We start from the raw sequence: 16,556 nt of genomic DNA on the forward strand, positions 1-16,556 counted from the left end.
CCCTTTTCTAAAACACATTGGGAAATTAAAATACACCTGAGAGAAGGTAAATAGTTCTCTCAATTCATGAGGACAGTCAAGGCACAAGTTTCTAATTAAGTACATATTTTCTTCTGAATATAAGAATAAATAGAAACATATTCCATCAGTTTTCTAATTGCTCTTCTCTGTTGCTGTTGTTAGCCAGAATTTGGGGATTTTTAACATATTTATTGAGCTGTTTCCTGGGGAATGTTTTATATTTTTACTTAGCTTCTACTCCTTTAGGGCTCCAAAGCTCAAAGCTTACTGTATGCCCCAGGGAAGAACAATTCTTTCTCTAACACATGAAGGCAGTAATTAGGTGCTTTGACATCTCCTAACATATTTTAAGAATAATCTCCTCCAAGGCACCAAGAAGAGAAGAGCCCAAGGGGTCCTGTGAATTCAAGGGGAGGGGAGTTCCTGCAACTGAGGGTTCCTCCCTATTTTAGGCCATTTAGGGTAATTTCTGGACATTGCCATGGCATTTGTAAGCTGTCCTGGCACCACTGGGAGTGTCTTTTGGCATGCTAATACATTATAATTAGAGTATAATAAGCAGTGAAGACAATCAGAGCTCGCTTTGGTCGCCATCTTGGTTTTAGTGGGTTTAGGCCAGTTTCTTTACCACATCTTGTTTTATCAGCGGGGTGTCTTGTGATGTGTATCTTGTGAAACCAGTCCTGCTGATCTCCTATCTCTTCCTGTGACTAGGAATGCCTAACCTCCTGGGAATGCAGCCCAGCAAGTCTCAGCTTCATTTTACCCAGCCCCTATTAAAGATGGAGTCACTCTAGTTCGATCCCATCTGACATATTCCCCCCCCTCCCTTTTACAAGAGGAGTCTTAAATCATAGGGTGATAGTACTCAAAAATAGTTACTCCTAAATGTTACAGGGGCTTATGGTCAAACTAAACTCTTCCAACAAATTCAAGAAATTAATAAATTATGTTTGGATTGACTTCAAAAATTTTTGTTTGTTTGTTTGTTTTTGTAGAGCGAGGGTCTCACTATGCTGTCCAGGCTGGTCTTGAACTCCTGGGCTGAAGGGATTTGCCTCAGTTTCCCAAAGTGCTCAGATTACAGATGCGAGCCACCACCACGCCCAGCCTGGGTTGACATTTTGTTACCTGACACTTGTTAGTATTTCCTGTAACAAAATATTGCACATCTCAAAAACAATGACTAGCCTTATGAACAAAAAAGCTAACACCTGCTTGATCTAGCACTCTGCTAGCCTCACCATCAAGCATCATTTTAAGGAGAAAACTGCTCCTGCTGGAGCATTAAATAAGCAGCTATCACTAAAAACCAAACAAAGCTTAAACTGAGTTTGCACAAGTGACATCTATAAATCTGTAACTTATTAATGCTGTAAACTAGAAATAAAATTTGAAGTGCCCCCCCGCCCCAACCCCAACCCCATTCATCTACCAACTACCACCATCTGAATGGATTCCCTCCTCAGCCAGGGCACTCTAAAATTTAACCTGAAAGACTGGTTCAGGCCACGACAGGAAGTGGGGTCGGACATGCCTCATTATATCCCTCTAGCATTAGCATCAACGCAGACCTTAAGTCTGGTGAGACACATTTACAATCTATTTTCTCTGAAGCTGGCTACCTGGAGGCTTCATTTGCATGATAAAACCTTGGTTGTGGAGACCAGAATGTCTTAACCTGGACATTCTTTTCTACTGATAACTCCTTCAACCAATGCCAATCAGAAAATGTTTAGATCAGCCAGGCACAGTGACTCACACCTATAATCCTAGCACTTAGGGAGGCCAAGGCGGGTGGATTACCTGAGGTCAAGAGTTCGAGACTAGCCTGGCCAACATGGCGAAACCCCGTCTCTACTAAAAATACAAAAAATTAGCCGGGCATGATGGCAGGCATCTGTAATCCCAGCTACTTGGAGGCTGAGGCAAAAGAATCGCTTGAACCCAGGAGGCGGAGGTTGCAGTGAACTGAGATTGTGCCATTGCACTCCAGCCTGAGCAACAGAGCCAGACTCTATCTCGAAAAAAAAAAAAAAAATTAATATGTTAACATCTACCTGTGGTCTGGAAGTCCCCCACCCTTTGAGTTGTCCTGCCCTTCCAGATGGAACCAATGTAAATCTTACATGTATTAATTGATGTGTTATGTCTCCCTAAAATATATAAAACAAGCTATACCCCAACTACCTTGGGCACATGTCCTCAGGGCCTCCTGAGGCTGTGTCACAGCCACATCCTTAACTTTGGCAAAAATAAACTTTCTAAATGGACTGAAACCTGTCTCAGATATGTTGGGTTCACAATGCTTTTGGTCTATTAAGCGCAGTGTGTGTGCATCAGGGCCTGCAGGGGTACACGTTTCTGTCTCAGGGTCCCCTGGGTAACATATTTACCCTTGCGAGTGGCCGGACACACCACAGCCCACCATCGTCCGCAGGAAGACAAACCAGATGTACGAAGGAGCAAACGAGGTCAGCAAGGAGAAATAGGCTCCCCACAGGAACGAGATGAGCAGAATCTGAAGCAACAGCAGAACACATGAATGGGACCTGCCTCAATGCGGGGAGGGAAGAAGCCCTAACTTCTGAAGGCGATTTTCGGTTTCCATCCTGATAGTTGCTTCTCTGAGGAGCTAACCTGTAGCAAGCCCACTGGTCTTTCACAATCATCCAACAATACAATCCATGCCATTCTACTGTCTGGAAGCCCAGACCTACCAAGTTCAGACCATTCTTTAAAACTACCATGCTGTGCCCACCCTCATGGGTGGCAGGTCCCTGAACTTGGACATCAAAAGGCAAAAACGTGTCCTCCCTACTCACAGGGCTGCTGGGGACGTAATGAGGCAGTATGTTGGGAGGAGTACAAGGAGAACATTTAAGGTATTTGCTTTTTCTTTAATTATAAGGATAAATTCATAGTAAACAATACAGAAGAAAAAAGAAAATTAAGAAATTGAAATCACCATTGATTGTCCAACCCAGAGAAGATAACTCTTAACACTGTTTTATCTTCTCTGTTTATGAGAGAAAACGAAGTGTTAATGGCTGGCTATAAATGTTCCAGTGGAAAGATGTACTTTCATACATGTAATATAATACATAAGACCTTGCTCTACTGTTGCAGTTTAAGTTGTTTCAGATCTTCTCATTATTAAAATAAGCTGCGATGATATCTGTACATAAGTCGTTATGCCCTCTCTGATATCTTTAGCAAGCTAGATTTCTGGAAGACAAATGTTCAGGTTAGCAGAATATTTTCAAGGTTCATGTTTCATACTGCCAGGCTGATGGTCAGAAAAATTATACCAATAGGGTTTAATAATATTATATAATAATAATGATATATTAACACCAACAGGGTGTTATATATAGTAAGGGTGTCTATATACTTGCAAGTCATGAAAATGTCCATTTCAACGGTGCAGGACTCTTTAAGGAAAAATTTCCTTACATATTTGATAAGGAAAAATTATATCTTGCTATGTATTTTGTTTTTGATAACTCCTGTACTTTAATGTTTTTTCAAAGTTTCTTGATAATTTGTATTTCTTTTATAAAATGCCTTTTTGTGCTTTTTTGAGATACTCGTGTTTTCAAATTTACAAGAATCTATGCTATTTATTTCATGTACTTTAAAACATACAGCCAATTCTACTAATGTTTTCCTTTGAGATTCCTCCATTTGTGTTTATGCTCAGAGAGGATTTCACCAGAAATCAAGCAAATAGAAAAGACAGACCTGGGTTTGTAATCAGAAGACATAATTTATGTCTTGATGTCTAATCTTAGTAGGCACGTGACTTTGAGCACGTAGCTAGTTTCAAAGCTATACCAACATGAGCAAAATGTGTAGCTGCTTATGTTTATACCTGCAAATGTCCACACTCTAATATGTTTTAACTCCGTACATCCATCAACTTGAGAGAGAAAAGCGGCTCAGAACAGTCTGAGGAATGTGAGGTATGCAGAATTTATCAGGTCCAGAGACACAGGAGCATGCGACTCCGGTCACATTCCCGCACCCATGCCCAGGGTAATTGTATTTCATTTTGTTTTTCTTACCTTCCCTGTAGTTTCCAGACTAGCTGATAAATTACCTAAAAGGTTACCGCAAGTTGCACAATGTGACGCTCATCCATTATCTCCATGTTTTTAGATTTTGTGACACCAAGAAAGATGTAGAATCAGCTGATAGCATACCTTATTTTAACGAACCAATGTAAATTATTAGTAAATAACTTAGGAAGTGCCCCCAAATTCTTTTCTCTCCTCCTTTAAAAAACCCACTTGTAACTGCTGCTAATCGGAGCATATATTCAGGGCAACTGGACTGTATGACTTCCGAGCTGCAATCCTCAATCTTGGTCCAAATAAACTCCCTACTTATATTAATTTCGTCTCTGTTTCTTCCTTTAGGTCAATATTTCTGGCATAGCTGGCAAGGTTCAGAGCAACACCACCCCTTACCCCCACAATTACCAATAGGCTCCTCTTGAACTTGCTGCATGAACCCACTGCGTTCCCCTAACTCCAGAGGTTTCACTGGGGGCAAAAGGGTGAGTCTTTCTGAATCTGGCCCTCCTTTCCTTTAGGTTGAGGTCTACAGTTTGGGTGGCTTCTTTATAAACTCTCTCATTTAAGAGCATGGGCTTCCATTTCTGTCCCTGGACGGGACATTCAGGCAAATGGCTCTGCAGAGAACTTCTGCTTTCTCTGCCTCTGCCTCATAGCAGCAGGTTTGGCTTAATGGTCTTGGCCATCCAGCACTAGTCATTTTACTTTTTCTTGTCCTAAAATTCCATCACAGGCTTTAAAACTTGCATCTGTTTCCTACTGATTGTAATTTGGACTTCTCTTTTCATTTGTGGCCAGTTCCTGCTAGTTTCAAACAGATAGGTGCCTGAGGGTGAGTTTTCTTGCCCCAAAATTAAGGGAGACTTGCTCCCTCCCAACCTACTTGGGTGCTCTGGGGGGTTAGAGACTTTATGGACACTCACTCATGACACATAGTCCTGAAAGAACAGCTTCTTCTGAGCTTGCTGTTGCAGCAGTGGACTAGTCATTTAAATGAAAACCAGAGGAAAAAACCTCCCAATAGGGCTGCTCTGAAGGGCTAAGGGGCCTTTTCCATTCCCCTTATTAACTCATTAGAAGCGAAGATATGGATAAATGGAGAACAGATGTGTGCCCCCACTGATATCAGACCTCTGTTCTCAACACCACCACAGTAAACTGGACGTGGTGGGGGCATCTAACCAACCCATGACTGCTTCTAAGTCCCAACCTTTAAAAGTTCAAATAGAGCCACTTAGCGGCCTTCCTTCCTTTAATCCTTCTGGGTAGAGATTTCTTAGAACTCTATAATACCCGCATCTCCTTTTACTCCACACCTGGACTGCAGAGGAACAGCTGCAGGCACAGGTACCCTGAGAAAAATGTCCAGAAGATAAGCCTGGAATGTTCCATCAGGGAGGGAAATGTCTGCATTTTCTATCTTGGGTATTGGGAGGGAGATGCCTACTAAAGAGAAACAGTGATAAGGTTGCCCCCAAAAGAATACACAAAAGACAATTCCAAATGCTACTGTGAGGCCCCACCTACCTTCCAGCGGCCATATCTGTCAGCCAGGAGGCCAAAGAGGATACTGAAAACCATGTAGCCAAAAAACACCATCTGCAAGTGGGAGCGAGATAAAACGGTTCTCTAAGCAGGTTTTACATGTTACTTTACCCCGTTAGCCATTTTCACTAGAAGTAGGCTGGAAATACGGGAGGGATGGAAGTTAATTTAAAGAACAGGGTTTCACGTTGGTCTTGCTTGCCCCTGAGGCCCTTCATGTTCAGGATTTCAGCTCCCTGTTGGTGGGAGCCTAACAAGGCAGATCCTGCCCCAGGTGGAAACGGGGTCCTCTGCCGCCCGCTTGTTGCTAGAGGACGGCTTCGGCTCCACTCTATTCAGATGTGTACTTGTGAATTTCCACTGTAATTTTTAAAATTGTCTGTTCATGCGCTGCCTTATACAGTACACAAATTGGGGCCACTAGAAGCAGTCTCCCTTTATGTTATTACAAATAGACATAACTTTAAACACCAAATCCAATCACTCATTTAAAAAACTCTTCAGAACATTCATAAGTCCTAAGATACACCTACTTCTTTTCCTTACTCGTTCTCACAATGGCCTGTCCTCCCCTGATAAAATTCAAGGACCTGGGATTTGACACTAGGGTTTTATTTATTATAACTTGGCCTGAGACCTCAGCTGCTGTCTGTGCCTCTGGGCTCCTTATTTTCCTGCCTTCAAGAAGTTCAGGCTTCACTGCAGCCCTGACTGACGGCCTCCAGGGCAATCAAAGGAATGCTGTCAGCTCGCATTTCTAGGGGAAAACAAAACAAACCAGAAACAGCTCTGTTTCCCTTTCGCTGTCGCTGTTCTGCTTTTTTTCTCCTTCCTTCACTCTTTAGAGGGAAGACTGAAATGCATTTCTCCCACACTGAACCATGAAAAATTCATCATATATATTCTTGCACGACAAAAGCCACGACTGGGTCCTGCACGCTACACTTTCTAGGACAGAAACGTTCCGTAACCCTGTTTGACAGACTGCAGAGACAGAAACCTGTCCGCTCGCTGGGGCTCCAGCTCTCCCTCTGCCTCCCTCACTCGCCCCCAACGATCCTCAGTGGTGCCCCCTTCTTGTGCACCCTACCCTGCCCTCCCCCTCCCCCACCTTCTACCTGGAAGACGTCCTGCCTCCCTCGCGCGCCCCACCTAGCGCGCGCCTAACCCTCCAGCGTCCTTGAGCTCCCATCGGGCACGCGCCTAACCCTCCAGCACCCCTAATCCTCCATCGGACACACCCCTGGCCCTCCATCGGGCGTGCGCCTAACCCTCCAACGCCCCTAATCCTCCATCGGGCACGCCTCTGACCCATTGGGCGCGTGCCTAACCCTCTGGCACCCCGTATCCTCCAGCAGGCGGGCGCCTAACCCTCCAGCGCCCCTAATCCTCCACTGGGCAAGCCCCTGACCCTTTATCGGGCGCGCGCGCCTAACCCTCGAGCACCCCTAATCCTCCATCAGGCGCGCGCCTAACCCTCCAGCGCCTTTAATCCTCCATCGGGCACGCCCCTGACCCTCCACCAGATGCGCGCCTAATCTCCAGCACCCCCGATCCTCCATCGGGCGCGCGCCTAACTCTCCAGCGTCCCTGACCCTCCATCGGGCGCACCCCTGATCCTCCATGGGTGTGCCGCTGACCCCTGATCCTCTCTTGCGCCCTTCCCCCCTCCCCCGCACGCTGCTGCTGCTCACCCCCAGCTCTTCCTCCTCCGCCACCCCGGCGCTCGACCCTTCCCCCCACCCCCGCCCTCGACCCTTCTCCCCAACTCCCGCCCTCGACCTTTCCCCCATAACCCTGACCCTTCCCCCAACCAGCCCCGCGCTCGACCCTTCCTTACCCCCACGCCCACCCTCGACCCTTCCCCCGACACTTCCCCCATCCCCGCCCTTTCCCCTGACCCCCGACACTTCCCCCCGACCCCTGCCCTCGACCCTTCCCCTCCACCCCCGACCCTTCCCCCAACCACCCCCATGCTCGACCCTTCCTACCCCCACCCCCACGCTCGACCCTCCCCCGCCCCCACTCGCCACCTCCCTAGGGTCAGCTCTTTTCTGCAGGTGCTTGTCTTTAATACATGACATGACTCCACTGTTTCTGATTTAAGCAACACACAAAGCGTTTCTTCAGCATGACTCTCACAAAACACAAGGGCCATCATAGCCCCACAATTCTTTAGTTTTCTCAATTAACAACCGCTTAGAAAACAGGGTTGGGGGGCCTGGGAGACAGTGACAATGTTGCTCATTAGCCTGGCCCTTCCGTTTAGCACAATTGTTCCCAGTAAGCTCAGGGACAGGGTCAGAGTCAGATGGGCTAAGCCAAGACAGGAGGATGGGAGGAGCCCAGAGCAGGAAACAGTCACCTTGGGAGAGTTCAGCTGCTTAGAGAGAAGTCTTCTGAGCTGTGATGGCCTAATGAGGGAGATTGTGTACCTGCTGGAAGGAGCCTCTGTAGGCACCTTAGGAAACAGCACAAATGCAGCCAATGAAATATGAGCTGTAAATATCACATTTACATGTGTGTCATGTACTATAAAAAACGGTATCACGTAATACAATTTTGTAGTGCAGGTGCAAATGCCACACCTGGATCTCCAGCATTCTCAAGGATCTAAGAGGTGCATATACACAAGCCAACTGGGGTACAGATCAGTTAGAATTAAACATAAAGTTATAGGGTCACCCTAAAGATACAAGGATTGGCAAGTAACGCTTTTCTGAAAGCCATGAGAACCAAAATGGAGTCACTTAGGCCACACCCTACCAAAATGGGATTGTAGGCAACAGAGGAGGAGCTCTCAGGCACACAAAAACTGTAATAAGGACTCTGAAAACCACAGCCTTGCACAAAGACCACTGATCGCTTGAGCCCAGGAGCTCAAGGCCAGCCTGAGCAACAGAGTGCATCACTGTCTCAAAAACAAACAAAACAAAAAACAAGAAACTGCTTCTGCAAGAACAATACCCAGCCTGTTCTACCTCGGACTGATGCCACCGTTGTTACTGATCCTTGTAGCCAAGGAAAAGTATTTCAAAATAACTTATGTAGCCTTCCTCATTTTGTCTTTAAAAAACTCTCGACTTTCCTTGCCTTCCTGGATACACCTATGGCCCGGCCACGGTTCGCCATGGCACAGGAATTCCCAGATTGCAATCACCTATCATTCCTTTCCAAATAAACTCATTTCTCTGGAGAGCTTCTCTGTTATTTTAGGTTGACACTTTCTAAAGTATTTTATATGTAGAAGAAAATAGAAAGCAATCGAGTCACTTTATTACAAGTCTAAGTAAAAACTTTGTTTTATTTCTAAAAGTTTTTCTAAAAGCATATGATCTGAGACACCAAAATAGACACCCCTTTAGCAACTAAGACGGGCCCCAAGGTTAAAGAAACAAACGTTATCTCCAGGTCAAGGGTTCAGGGTCTGGCAGACATGGCAGATTTCTGAATTCCTGTCTGAGATATCAAGCTGATTTACAACCCAGACCACTACAGTGCTGATTGGACAGAGGACCAGCCTTACAGACATTCTTTTTGGATAAGCTACTGCAGACCTCAGGTCAGTTTCAGCAGCTTATACAGAGAGTGCACAAACTGTTTGTTTTCTGTAGTTCACCTTTGACATAAAGAGCCAAATTCCACCTCATTTTAATGCTAAAACCCTGCCCCAAAGTGAACATGTGATGTATGTTACAAACGAGCTTACCTAGTCTGCATGTAGGATCCCCTCACAAACATGTATAGCTTTGCCCCCAAACCTGCCAAATATGTATGATGCCAGCCTTGTGAAACATAAAACCCAACCTGTCCTTCTCCTCTTCCAAGAGAAAGCAACTTCAATGCACACTGGAGACTGTCTCTTTCAGGCTTGCAAATCACTATTGCCAATAAAACTGTCCTTTCTATTATTTAGCCATCCTGGTGGTCTTTGGGACAACAAGTACTAGAGAGCTTTAAAAACGCAAAAAAGGAACCAGGGCTCCAAAGTTAATAAGAGGAGTTTTAATGAGGGAGATGGAACTAAGATAATATAATGGAAAAATAAAACATCTCGGGACTCCTAAACTCATTACACCAAAGAGGAGGTTAAGCCTGAAGACAGACTAATGCAACACTAGCCATCCTTGAATAGCTGTTGCTTTACAATCTTATGTCAAAGTATTATCCATCAGCCAGACCCCCCATGGAAAATTCTTTGCTGGTCTTGAAACCCTTCAAGATGCATATCCTCCTATAAAGCAAGGACATGTCCATTGTAACTTAGGTTTTCTATCTAAGTCTAGCTTCTACAACTAACATCTGTTAGATTTCACACTGATAATGTTGATTGCAAGCTCATCTTCCCAAGTGATGAGACTCATTCTTCCCAGAAGATGAGACCATTCTTCCACCTGCCCTGAGACATCTGCATAATTGATGCTTCCTTTACTCTCCCTTTTTTCTTCCAATGTTCACCTCATTTTATATAAAATGTAGATTTACTGGGCACTAATTAAAATCTCACAGACATGTAACCATTTGCCTCATTGGCTGGCTACCCACCTCTTCCTACATGCTTTCTTTCCTTTAAAAGAGAGTATAAATCCTGAGTCACCCGGAAACCTCTGCTTCAAGCCACAGATGTTTCCATAGCTGGTGTTCTTGAAACTGACACTGCAAAATTGTAACTGAGTCAGTGAAAGAGATCTGACCTAACCAACTCCATCTTGCTTCTAACCTCCAAACTGTCCTTGGTCATTCCTGGGTGTAGGCTGAACTAGCTTTGGGAGTAACTTACTTTATAGTTTAAAACAAAGATGATAACCGCCCTTTCCCAAAACCAACCTCCTTCTTGGCTAGGACTAGACTGCCTTTGTAGGACTAACAAATTAGCCACAAGATTAGAAATTGTGGTTTAGGAGTCACGCAGCTGGAGGTTACAAGATTCTGACCCTCCCTAAACTGTTCCTGAGATCAGTGCTTGAGATATTTTGCAGATGGTGCTCTTGATGGATCAGCTGGTACCACCCAGACCAATAAACTGGTTCATCTGATCTTGTGGCACCCACTCAGGAACTCACTCAGCGCAAGAGGAAAGCGTCAATTCCCTACTATTTCATCTCTAACCCACCTAATCAGCACTCTCGACTCACTGACCTTCCCCCACCCACCAAGTTGTCCTTAAAAACTCTGCTCCCCAAATGCTCAGGGAGACTGATTTGAATAACAATAAAACTCCAGTTGCCCACACAGCCAGCTCTGTGGGAATTACTCCTTCTCTATTGCAATTCCCCTGTCTTGAGAAATCAGCTCTGTCTAGTCAGCGGGCAAGGTGAACCCGCTGGGCTGTTACATTCTTCCCAGTCACACCCTCAAGCTCTAGCTCAATAAACCTCAGATGACTGAGATTTTTGCCTCAATATCTCATTTGGGTTAGCAAAAATCAGGGCAGATTTTTAGATGTGCTGCTGTGATTGGGCATACAACTGGAATCCAAACTTCCCAGCCTCCAAGACACAGAAAGAAACACAACTGGGCAATACCATGCATTATCTGAGAGAAGAACTCCAACCAGTTCCTCAAGTGAGGGAATTTTCCCTGGTGCCACCCCCAAAGATTAAAATTCACAGGTAAGATTTGGTTAACACAGTGAGTGACAGGGACATCCCCTTCCCCTGCCACCTTCCGGGGCTACTCCTTTGAGCACAGCCTTGTCAGTCTGGGGAGCAGGAGGAATTCTTCTGGAATTCTCCACCACCAGTTTCAGACTAGCTCTCACTGTCTTACAGAATTTGACCTCAAGGCCTCTGCCACCTGACTGCCATCCTCCACCCATCAGTCTACCTACCTCCCAGACACTCTCTTTAGTGAGGATTTTGAGCACCTGGGCTCACAGTTCTTCTATTAAGTCGTTGGGGCCCAGAAAGCGATACAACAAAGACTGGCCTTTTGACATGTGGAGAGGATAGAGGCAGCTGCATCAGAATCAAGGTCCCTCTAACCTTGTCTTGCTCCTTCGCCCTCAAGCACAGGGAAGGGCTCTCTGCAGTTTCCTTATCTGACCAAGAAAGCTTTGTTCCAAAAGGAATGCAACTGGGCCAGGTGTGGTAACTCAGTTTGTGATCCCAACACTTTGAGAGGCCTAGGCAGGAGGATTGCTTGAGGCCAGGAGTAGAGACTAGCCTCTTCAAATTAGCCAGGTGTGGTGACCCACATCCTAGCTACTCAGGAAGCTAAGGCAAGAGGATTATTTGAGCCCAGGAGTTCAAAGCTGCGGTGAGCTATGATCGCACCACCACACTCCAGCCCGGGCAAAAGAGGGAGACTCTGTTTCAACAAAACAACAACAATGACAACAAAAAAAAAGGGAACGCAATTATCTTAAACCTGCTCCCTAGGGATCATGTCAAATTACAAAGATCAGCCACCAGAAAAGAGAAGAGGCTGGGGGTATCACATTGCTCCAGACTTTTCACCTAGTCCTCTGAGGGCAGCTCCCAGAGATCACCTGGATAACAGAACAACCTTTGTTCCTGTGCAACTCCACCCCTCACCTTCCTGTAATGCGTGCCTCACTCCTCCCTGGTTCATTCATTCTCACTTATGACTTATTGCCCATCTAAAGAATCTTTGCCCACTGGCATCCTCCACTGTGTAAAAGGCTATATACGTTTCTGTCCCAAGCTGGGTTATTGGTAATCACTCTTGTGATTCCTTCCTGCTATGCCCATCAAAATAAAATTTTGTATGCCTTTTTTCCCCATGAATCTACCTTCTGTCAGTTGATTTTTTTAGTAAACCTTTGGAAGGTGAAGGGAAGTTTTCCCTTGGCACTTACAAAGTCCTGTCTTCATTAAAACCAGCTTCAATACCCAAGTAAATCAACCTTTCTCTCCCCACCTGCTGGTTCTTTGACCTCCTTGGCTGATGTTACTTCCTAAATATGTCCCAGAACACACACCCTCACTCTACCACTTATACCACAGCCCCTTTGAAACCATCTTTGCAAAAATTATAATAGAAAAAATTATGACAGTGAAAGAGATCTGCCCTAACCAAATCCATTTTGGCTTTAACTTCCAAACTGCCCTTGGTCATTCCTGGGCATGGGTCAAGCTAACTTTGGAAGAAATTTAGTTTACAGTTTAGATAACAGCTCTTCCCAAAACTAAACCACCTTTATAAAGTAATAAAAGGCCACCAGGTAGGATTATGAGAGGGGCCTGAATTCTGTTAAGATATAGGCTTAAAGGATTACCAGCCACTTTCCAGCCTTTGTTCTGTAGGTCACACGATTTGCGACTTCCCCAATTACTCCTGTAAATAACATCACTATTGTAGAACCTAAGATTGGCTTTTTGAGAAGTCTTTTCAGACTTTTGCATTTTTGACAACGGGATGACTCCACCCAGACCCATGACCCCTGACTCAACTGGTCCTGTGACCCATAAGCAGACTCAGCATACTTGGTCCATTTTCTACACCACTATGATTGCATCTCCAACCAATCAGAAATATCCATTCTCTAGCCCCCTGTCAACCAAACTATCTTTAAAAAATGCTTGCCTCCAAATTTTCAGGGAGGCTGATACAATAAAATTCTGGCCTCTGGTTTAGCCACTCTATGTCTATTAAACATGTTCTCTATTGCAATTCCTCCACTTGATAAGTTGGCTCTATTGGGGCACTAGGAAAGATGAACCCTAGGGCAGTTACACCCTCATTGACCTTCTACCCTGCAGCCTTATCTCCTTGGAGTTCTTAGAAAACTGACCACATCCTTCCCTGAAGCCTTCCAATGGCTCTCCACCCTCCACAGCATTCTAATATATCAGGAGCCTCTTTTAAGATTAAAAATAAATATTTTGCAAAGCTCTATGATAGAAGGTGAACTTTCATACCCATTTAATCAGAAATATATAATGACTATGAAGTCAATCATGCTATTATGTTGATTTTGGTTATAAGAAATGGCAAACTGAAAAACTGTAATATGTATTTGTATCACATATTTTTTGCATGGAGGGTTTATATGTGTTTGGCCCAATGTTGGGGAGCAGTGGCTATAGAATGCAATTCATGCTCAGCAGGTGGGGTGCTTCTGGCCCTGCCCACCTCTGCAGCTTCACCTCCCATCACTACCCCTTTCTCACTATTTAAACAACGTGATACTGCTTGTAGTCTTCTCAGCACACATGCATACACACATCCTTTTTGAAAGAATGGATATCTTCAATTCCACTTTGTAGCAAAACTTGATGTGCAACTCATAAGGCTATTTTTTCTTTTTTGAGATGGAGTTTCACTCTTGTCACCCAGGCTGGAGCGCAATGGCGTGGTCTTGGCTCACTGCAACCTCCTCCTCCCAGATGCAAGCAATTCTCCTGTCTCAGCCTCCCAAGTAGCTGGGATTATAGGCACCCACCACCACATCTTGCTAATTTTTGTATTTTTAGTAGAGACGGGGTTTCACCATGTTGGTCAGGCTGGTCTCAACCTCCTGACCTCAGGTGATCTGCCTGCCTCAGCCTCCCAAAGTGCTGGGATTACAGGCATGAGCCACTGCACCAGGCCCATAAGGCTATTCTTAATGGTCTTTGAGAAAAGTTGAAGGAGTAACAGTATAATTCAGCGAGGGTGATTGGTGAAGTCACTATGATCCATGTAAATAGCTTCTTTAGTGACCCGATTTAACCTATGACTAACCCATGACTTAGGGATCACTTTCTGAATTGCATCTCTCATGTGGATAGTAAGCAGTTCAACATTAGGCATGCTAGGAAAAGAAAAAGGTGACGAAGACATCAAATGCTGCAAACCCTTGAGTTTTGGAAGCCAACAGTGGCAGTGGTGAGACACCCTTTGGCTCTCAGCCCTGCAGGATGGAGGAAAGGGAGCCTACGCCCTCAGTTGCTGTGTTCACGGCACAGGGAGCAGGTACTTACCGTGGTTACTAATGCCACCTGCCAATTCTCCAGTTGCCATTCACAGCGGATGACAGGAGACACAACAGCTATCAACATGATCTCCATGGCCTCAACCACCTTAAAGAAGAGGGACACCATGCCATGTCTAAGTGCCAGCTTGTCATCACTTCTTCTCATATCTGCCTGCCCATCATCCTACCTAGTCCTGTCCCCTTTGTCCTTCCCCATTCAGGGAGGATCTATTGTATACCCACACTGCACTGCTAGTTGGATAAGGAACTATAGAACTTCAGCCTTTGTGGATGTGACTTTCATGGTTTGAACAACTTGAGAGAGTTCCCAAAAATTTGTGACACATATTCACTTATGATTTTGCTGACCAATGCAGTTGCATGGTAGCACTAGGAGGGAGCTGTGTGAAGGCCACTCCCATAGCTAAGGGGTGAAACTAGCTAACCGGCAGCATCCACATCAACTAGCTTTGTTGTTTTGTACTCATGATTATGAAGGTTGCAGAGCACACGCCTTATAAATGGATTTTTGAGACAGTTTCTGATCTCAAGCTGGGATAGTAAGATTCATGAAAGCTGGAAAATAAAGCAATGAGTACAAAGTAATATGAGTTCATCAGCAGGAAAGTGTTTTTTTTTGTGTTTAAAAAAAAAAAAAAAAAAAGAAGCAATGGGATCTCACTATGTTGCCCAGGCTGGAAACTCCTGGGCTTAAGTGAACCTCCCACCTTGACCTCCCAGAGTGCTGAGATTACAGGCATGAGCCACTGAACTCAGCCTAAGAAAATGTGTATTTAACAAACTTAATGCTACTAAATATTTCTTTCAATACAGTTTGAGTATGATCCTTTATCCATATTTTGCAATCCGTTATAGGGATAAGTTTGTCTCTCAAAAAAAAAAAAAAAAAAAGAAGGAGATGCTAGAAAAGAATTGAAGGAATAATTATAAATAGATGATGAAAGTTAGGTAAAGGATCATGAAGGATGAGTCAAAGATGACTGAGATTTTGTGTCTGGTGGAAGGGAAGAACACTGACATCATTGACAGGGACAAGGTTATCAGGAGGAAAAAAAGGGAATTAAAGGAGAAAATGAATTTGTTTGGCACATGTTCTGTCGATAACATTGATAGAATATCTATATGGGTTATTATAATAATGTTTATACTTGTATGACTTGGAGGTCTGGGATGAAAAAGCTGGAATGATGTCAGCCAGCGTGTGGGACTTTGAAGTACACATATTATAGTGACTTGTCTCTCCACAAGAGAGCATTATAGTGGTGTCCAGAGTTCAGATGGCCAGCTGGCAAGTTTTAGTTCAACAGGTATCAGAAGTAAGAGAGCATAATTATCTCAGAAGAGGCTGACCAGGTGACTAATGTCTGTAATCTGAGCACTTTGGAAGGCTGAGGTAGGCGGATCACTTGAGGCCAGGAGTTCGAGACCAGCCTGGCCAACATGGCAAAACCCCATCGCTGCTAAAAATACAGAAATTAGTGGGACACGGTACTGCACGCCTACTCAGGAGGGTGAGGCACGAGAATCACTTGCACCCAGGAGGCAGAGGTTGCAGTGAGCTGAGATCACACCACTGCACTCCAGCCTGGGTGACAGAGCAAGACCCTGTCTACAAATAATAATAATCTCAGAATAATGTTTGATTTAGTAAACTCATCTTCCTTCAGTAATACAGAAGAGCTAGATCCATATTCACCAAGATGCCACTCCTCTAAAGAGTTCTAGAAGGAAATAAACCAATAAGGAATAAAACTCTGCCCATTCTGCTATAGTAGCCTTAGGGGAGAGGGACCAGGCAGGGAGCCAGGGTGGGGTACACAGAGGAGCTTCACTCTAGACCTCAGGGAAGGTCTTAAAGACAACCAGGACTGACCAGGCGAGGTGGCTTACGCCTGTAATCCCAGCACTTTGGGAGGCTGAGGCGGGCAGATCACTTGAGGTCAGGAGTTTGAGACCAGCTTGGCCAACAT

The 16,556-nt window shown here is 44.8% G+C and overlaps 1 protein-coding gene across 10 annotated transcripts in view, besides 1 other annotated feature; it reads right to left on the reverse strand.

The window, feature by feature from the left end:
• The window catches only part of SVOPL (SVOP like), a 107,078-nt gene that overhangs the window by 63,162 nt on the left and 27,360 nt on the right, over positions 1-16,556 (reverse strand). For 2 of the 10 annotated variants that reach the window (XM_047419887.1, XM_024446654.2), the window contains exons 1-3: positions 7,340-7,379; positions 5,628-5,699; positions 2,418-2,542 (exon numbers count right to left, since the gene is read on the reverse strand). In XM_047419887.1, coding sequence (XP_047275843.1) covers positions 2,418-2,542; positions 5,628-5,699 — 197 coding nt within the window. In that variant the 5' untranslated portion in view covers positions 7,340-7,379. Of the gene's footprint in view, positions 1-2,417; positions 2,543-5,627; positions 5,700-6,763; positions 6,779-7,339; positions 7,380-8,010; positions 8,048-14,572; positions 14,672-16,556 lie in introns of those variants that run through there. The other 8 variants (XM_047419888.1, XM_017011747.2, NM_001139456.2 and 5 more) reach the window with 7 other exon arrangements.
• Positions 10,553-11,134: an enhancer, noted in NCBI's record as "OCT4-NANOG hESC enhancer chr7:138352744-138353325 (GRCh37/hg19 assembly coordinates)". NCBI's record gives its function as "activates a minimal SCP1, AML or CMV promoter by ChIP-STARR-seq in naive H9 embryonic stem cells {active_cell/tissue: H9 hESC(naive)}" and the evidence as "EXISTENCE:reporter gene assay evidence [ECO:0000049][PMID:30033119]".

The sequence above is a fragment of the Homo sapiens genome, chromosome 7 (assembly GCF_000001405.40).
Source record: "Homo sapiens chromosome 7, GRCh38.p14 Primary Assembly".
Taxonomy (NCBI): domain Eukaryota; kingdom Metazoa; phylum Chordata; class Mammalia; order Primates; family Hominidae; genus Homo; species Homo sapiens.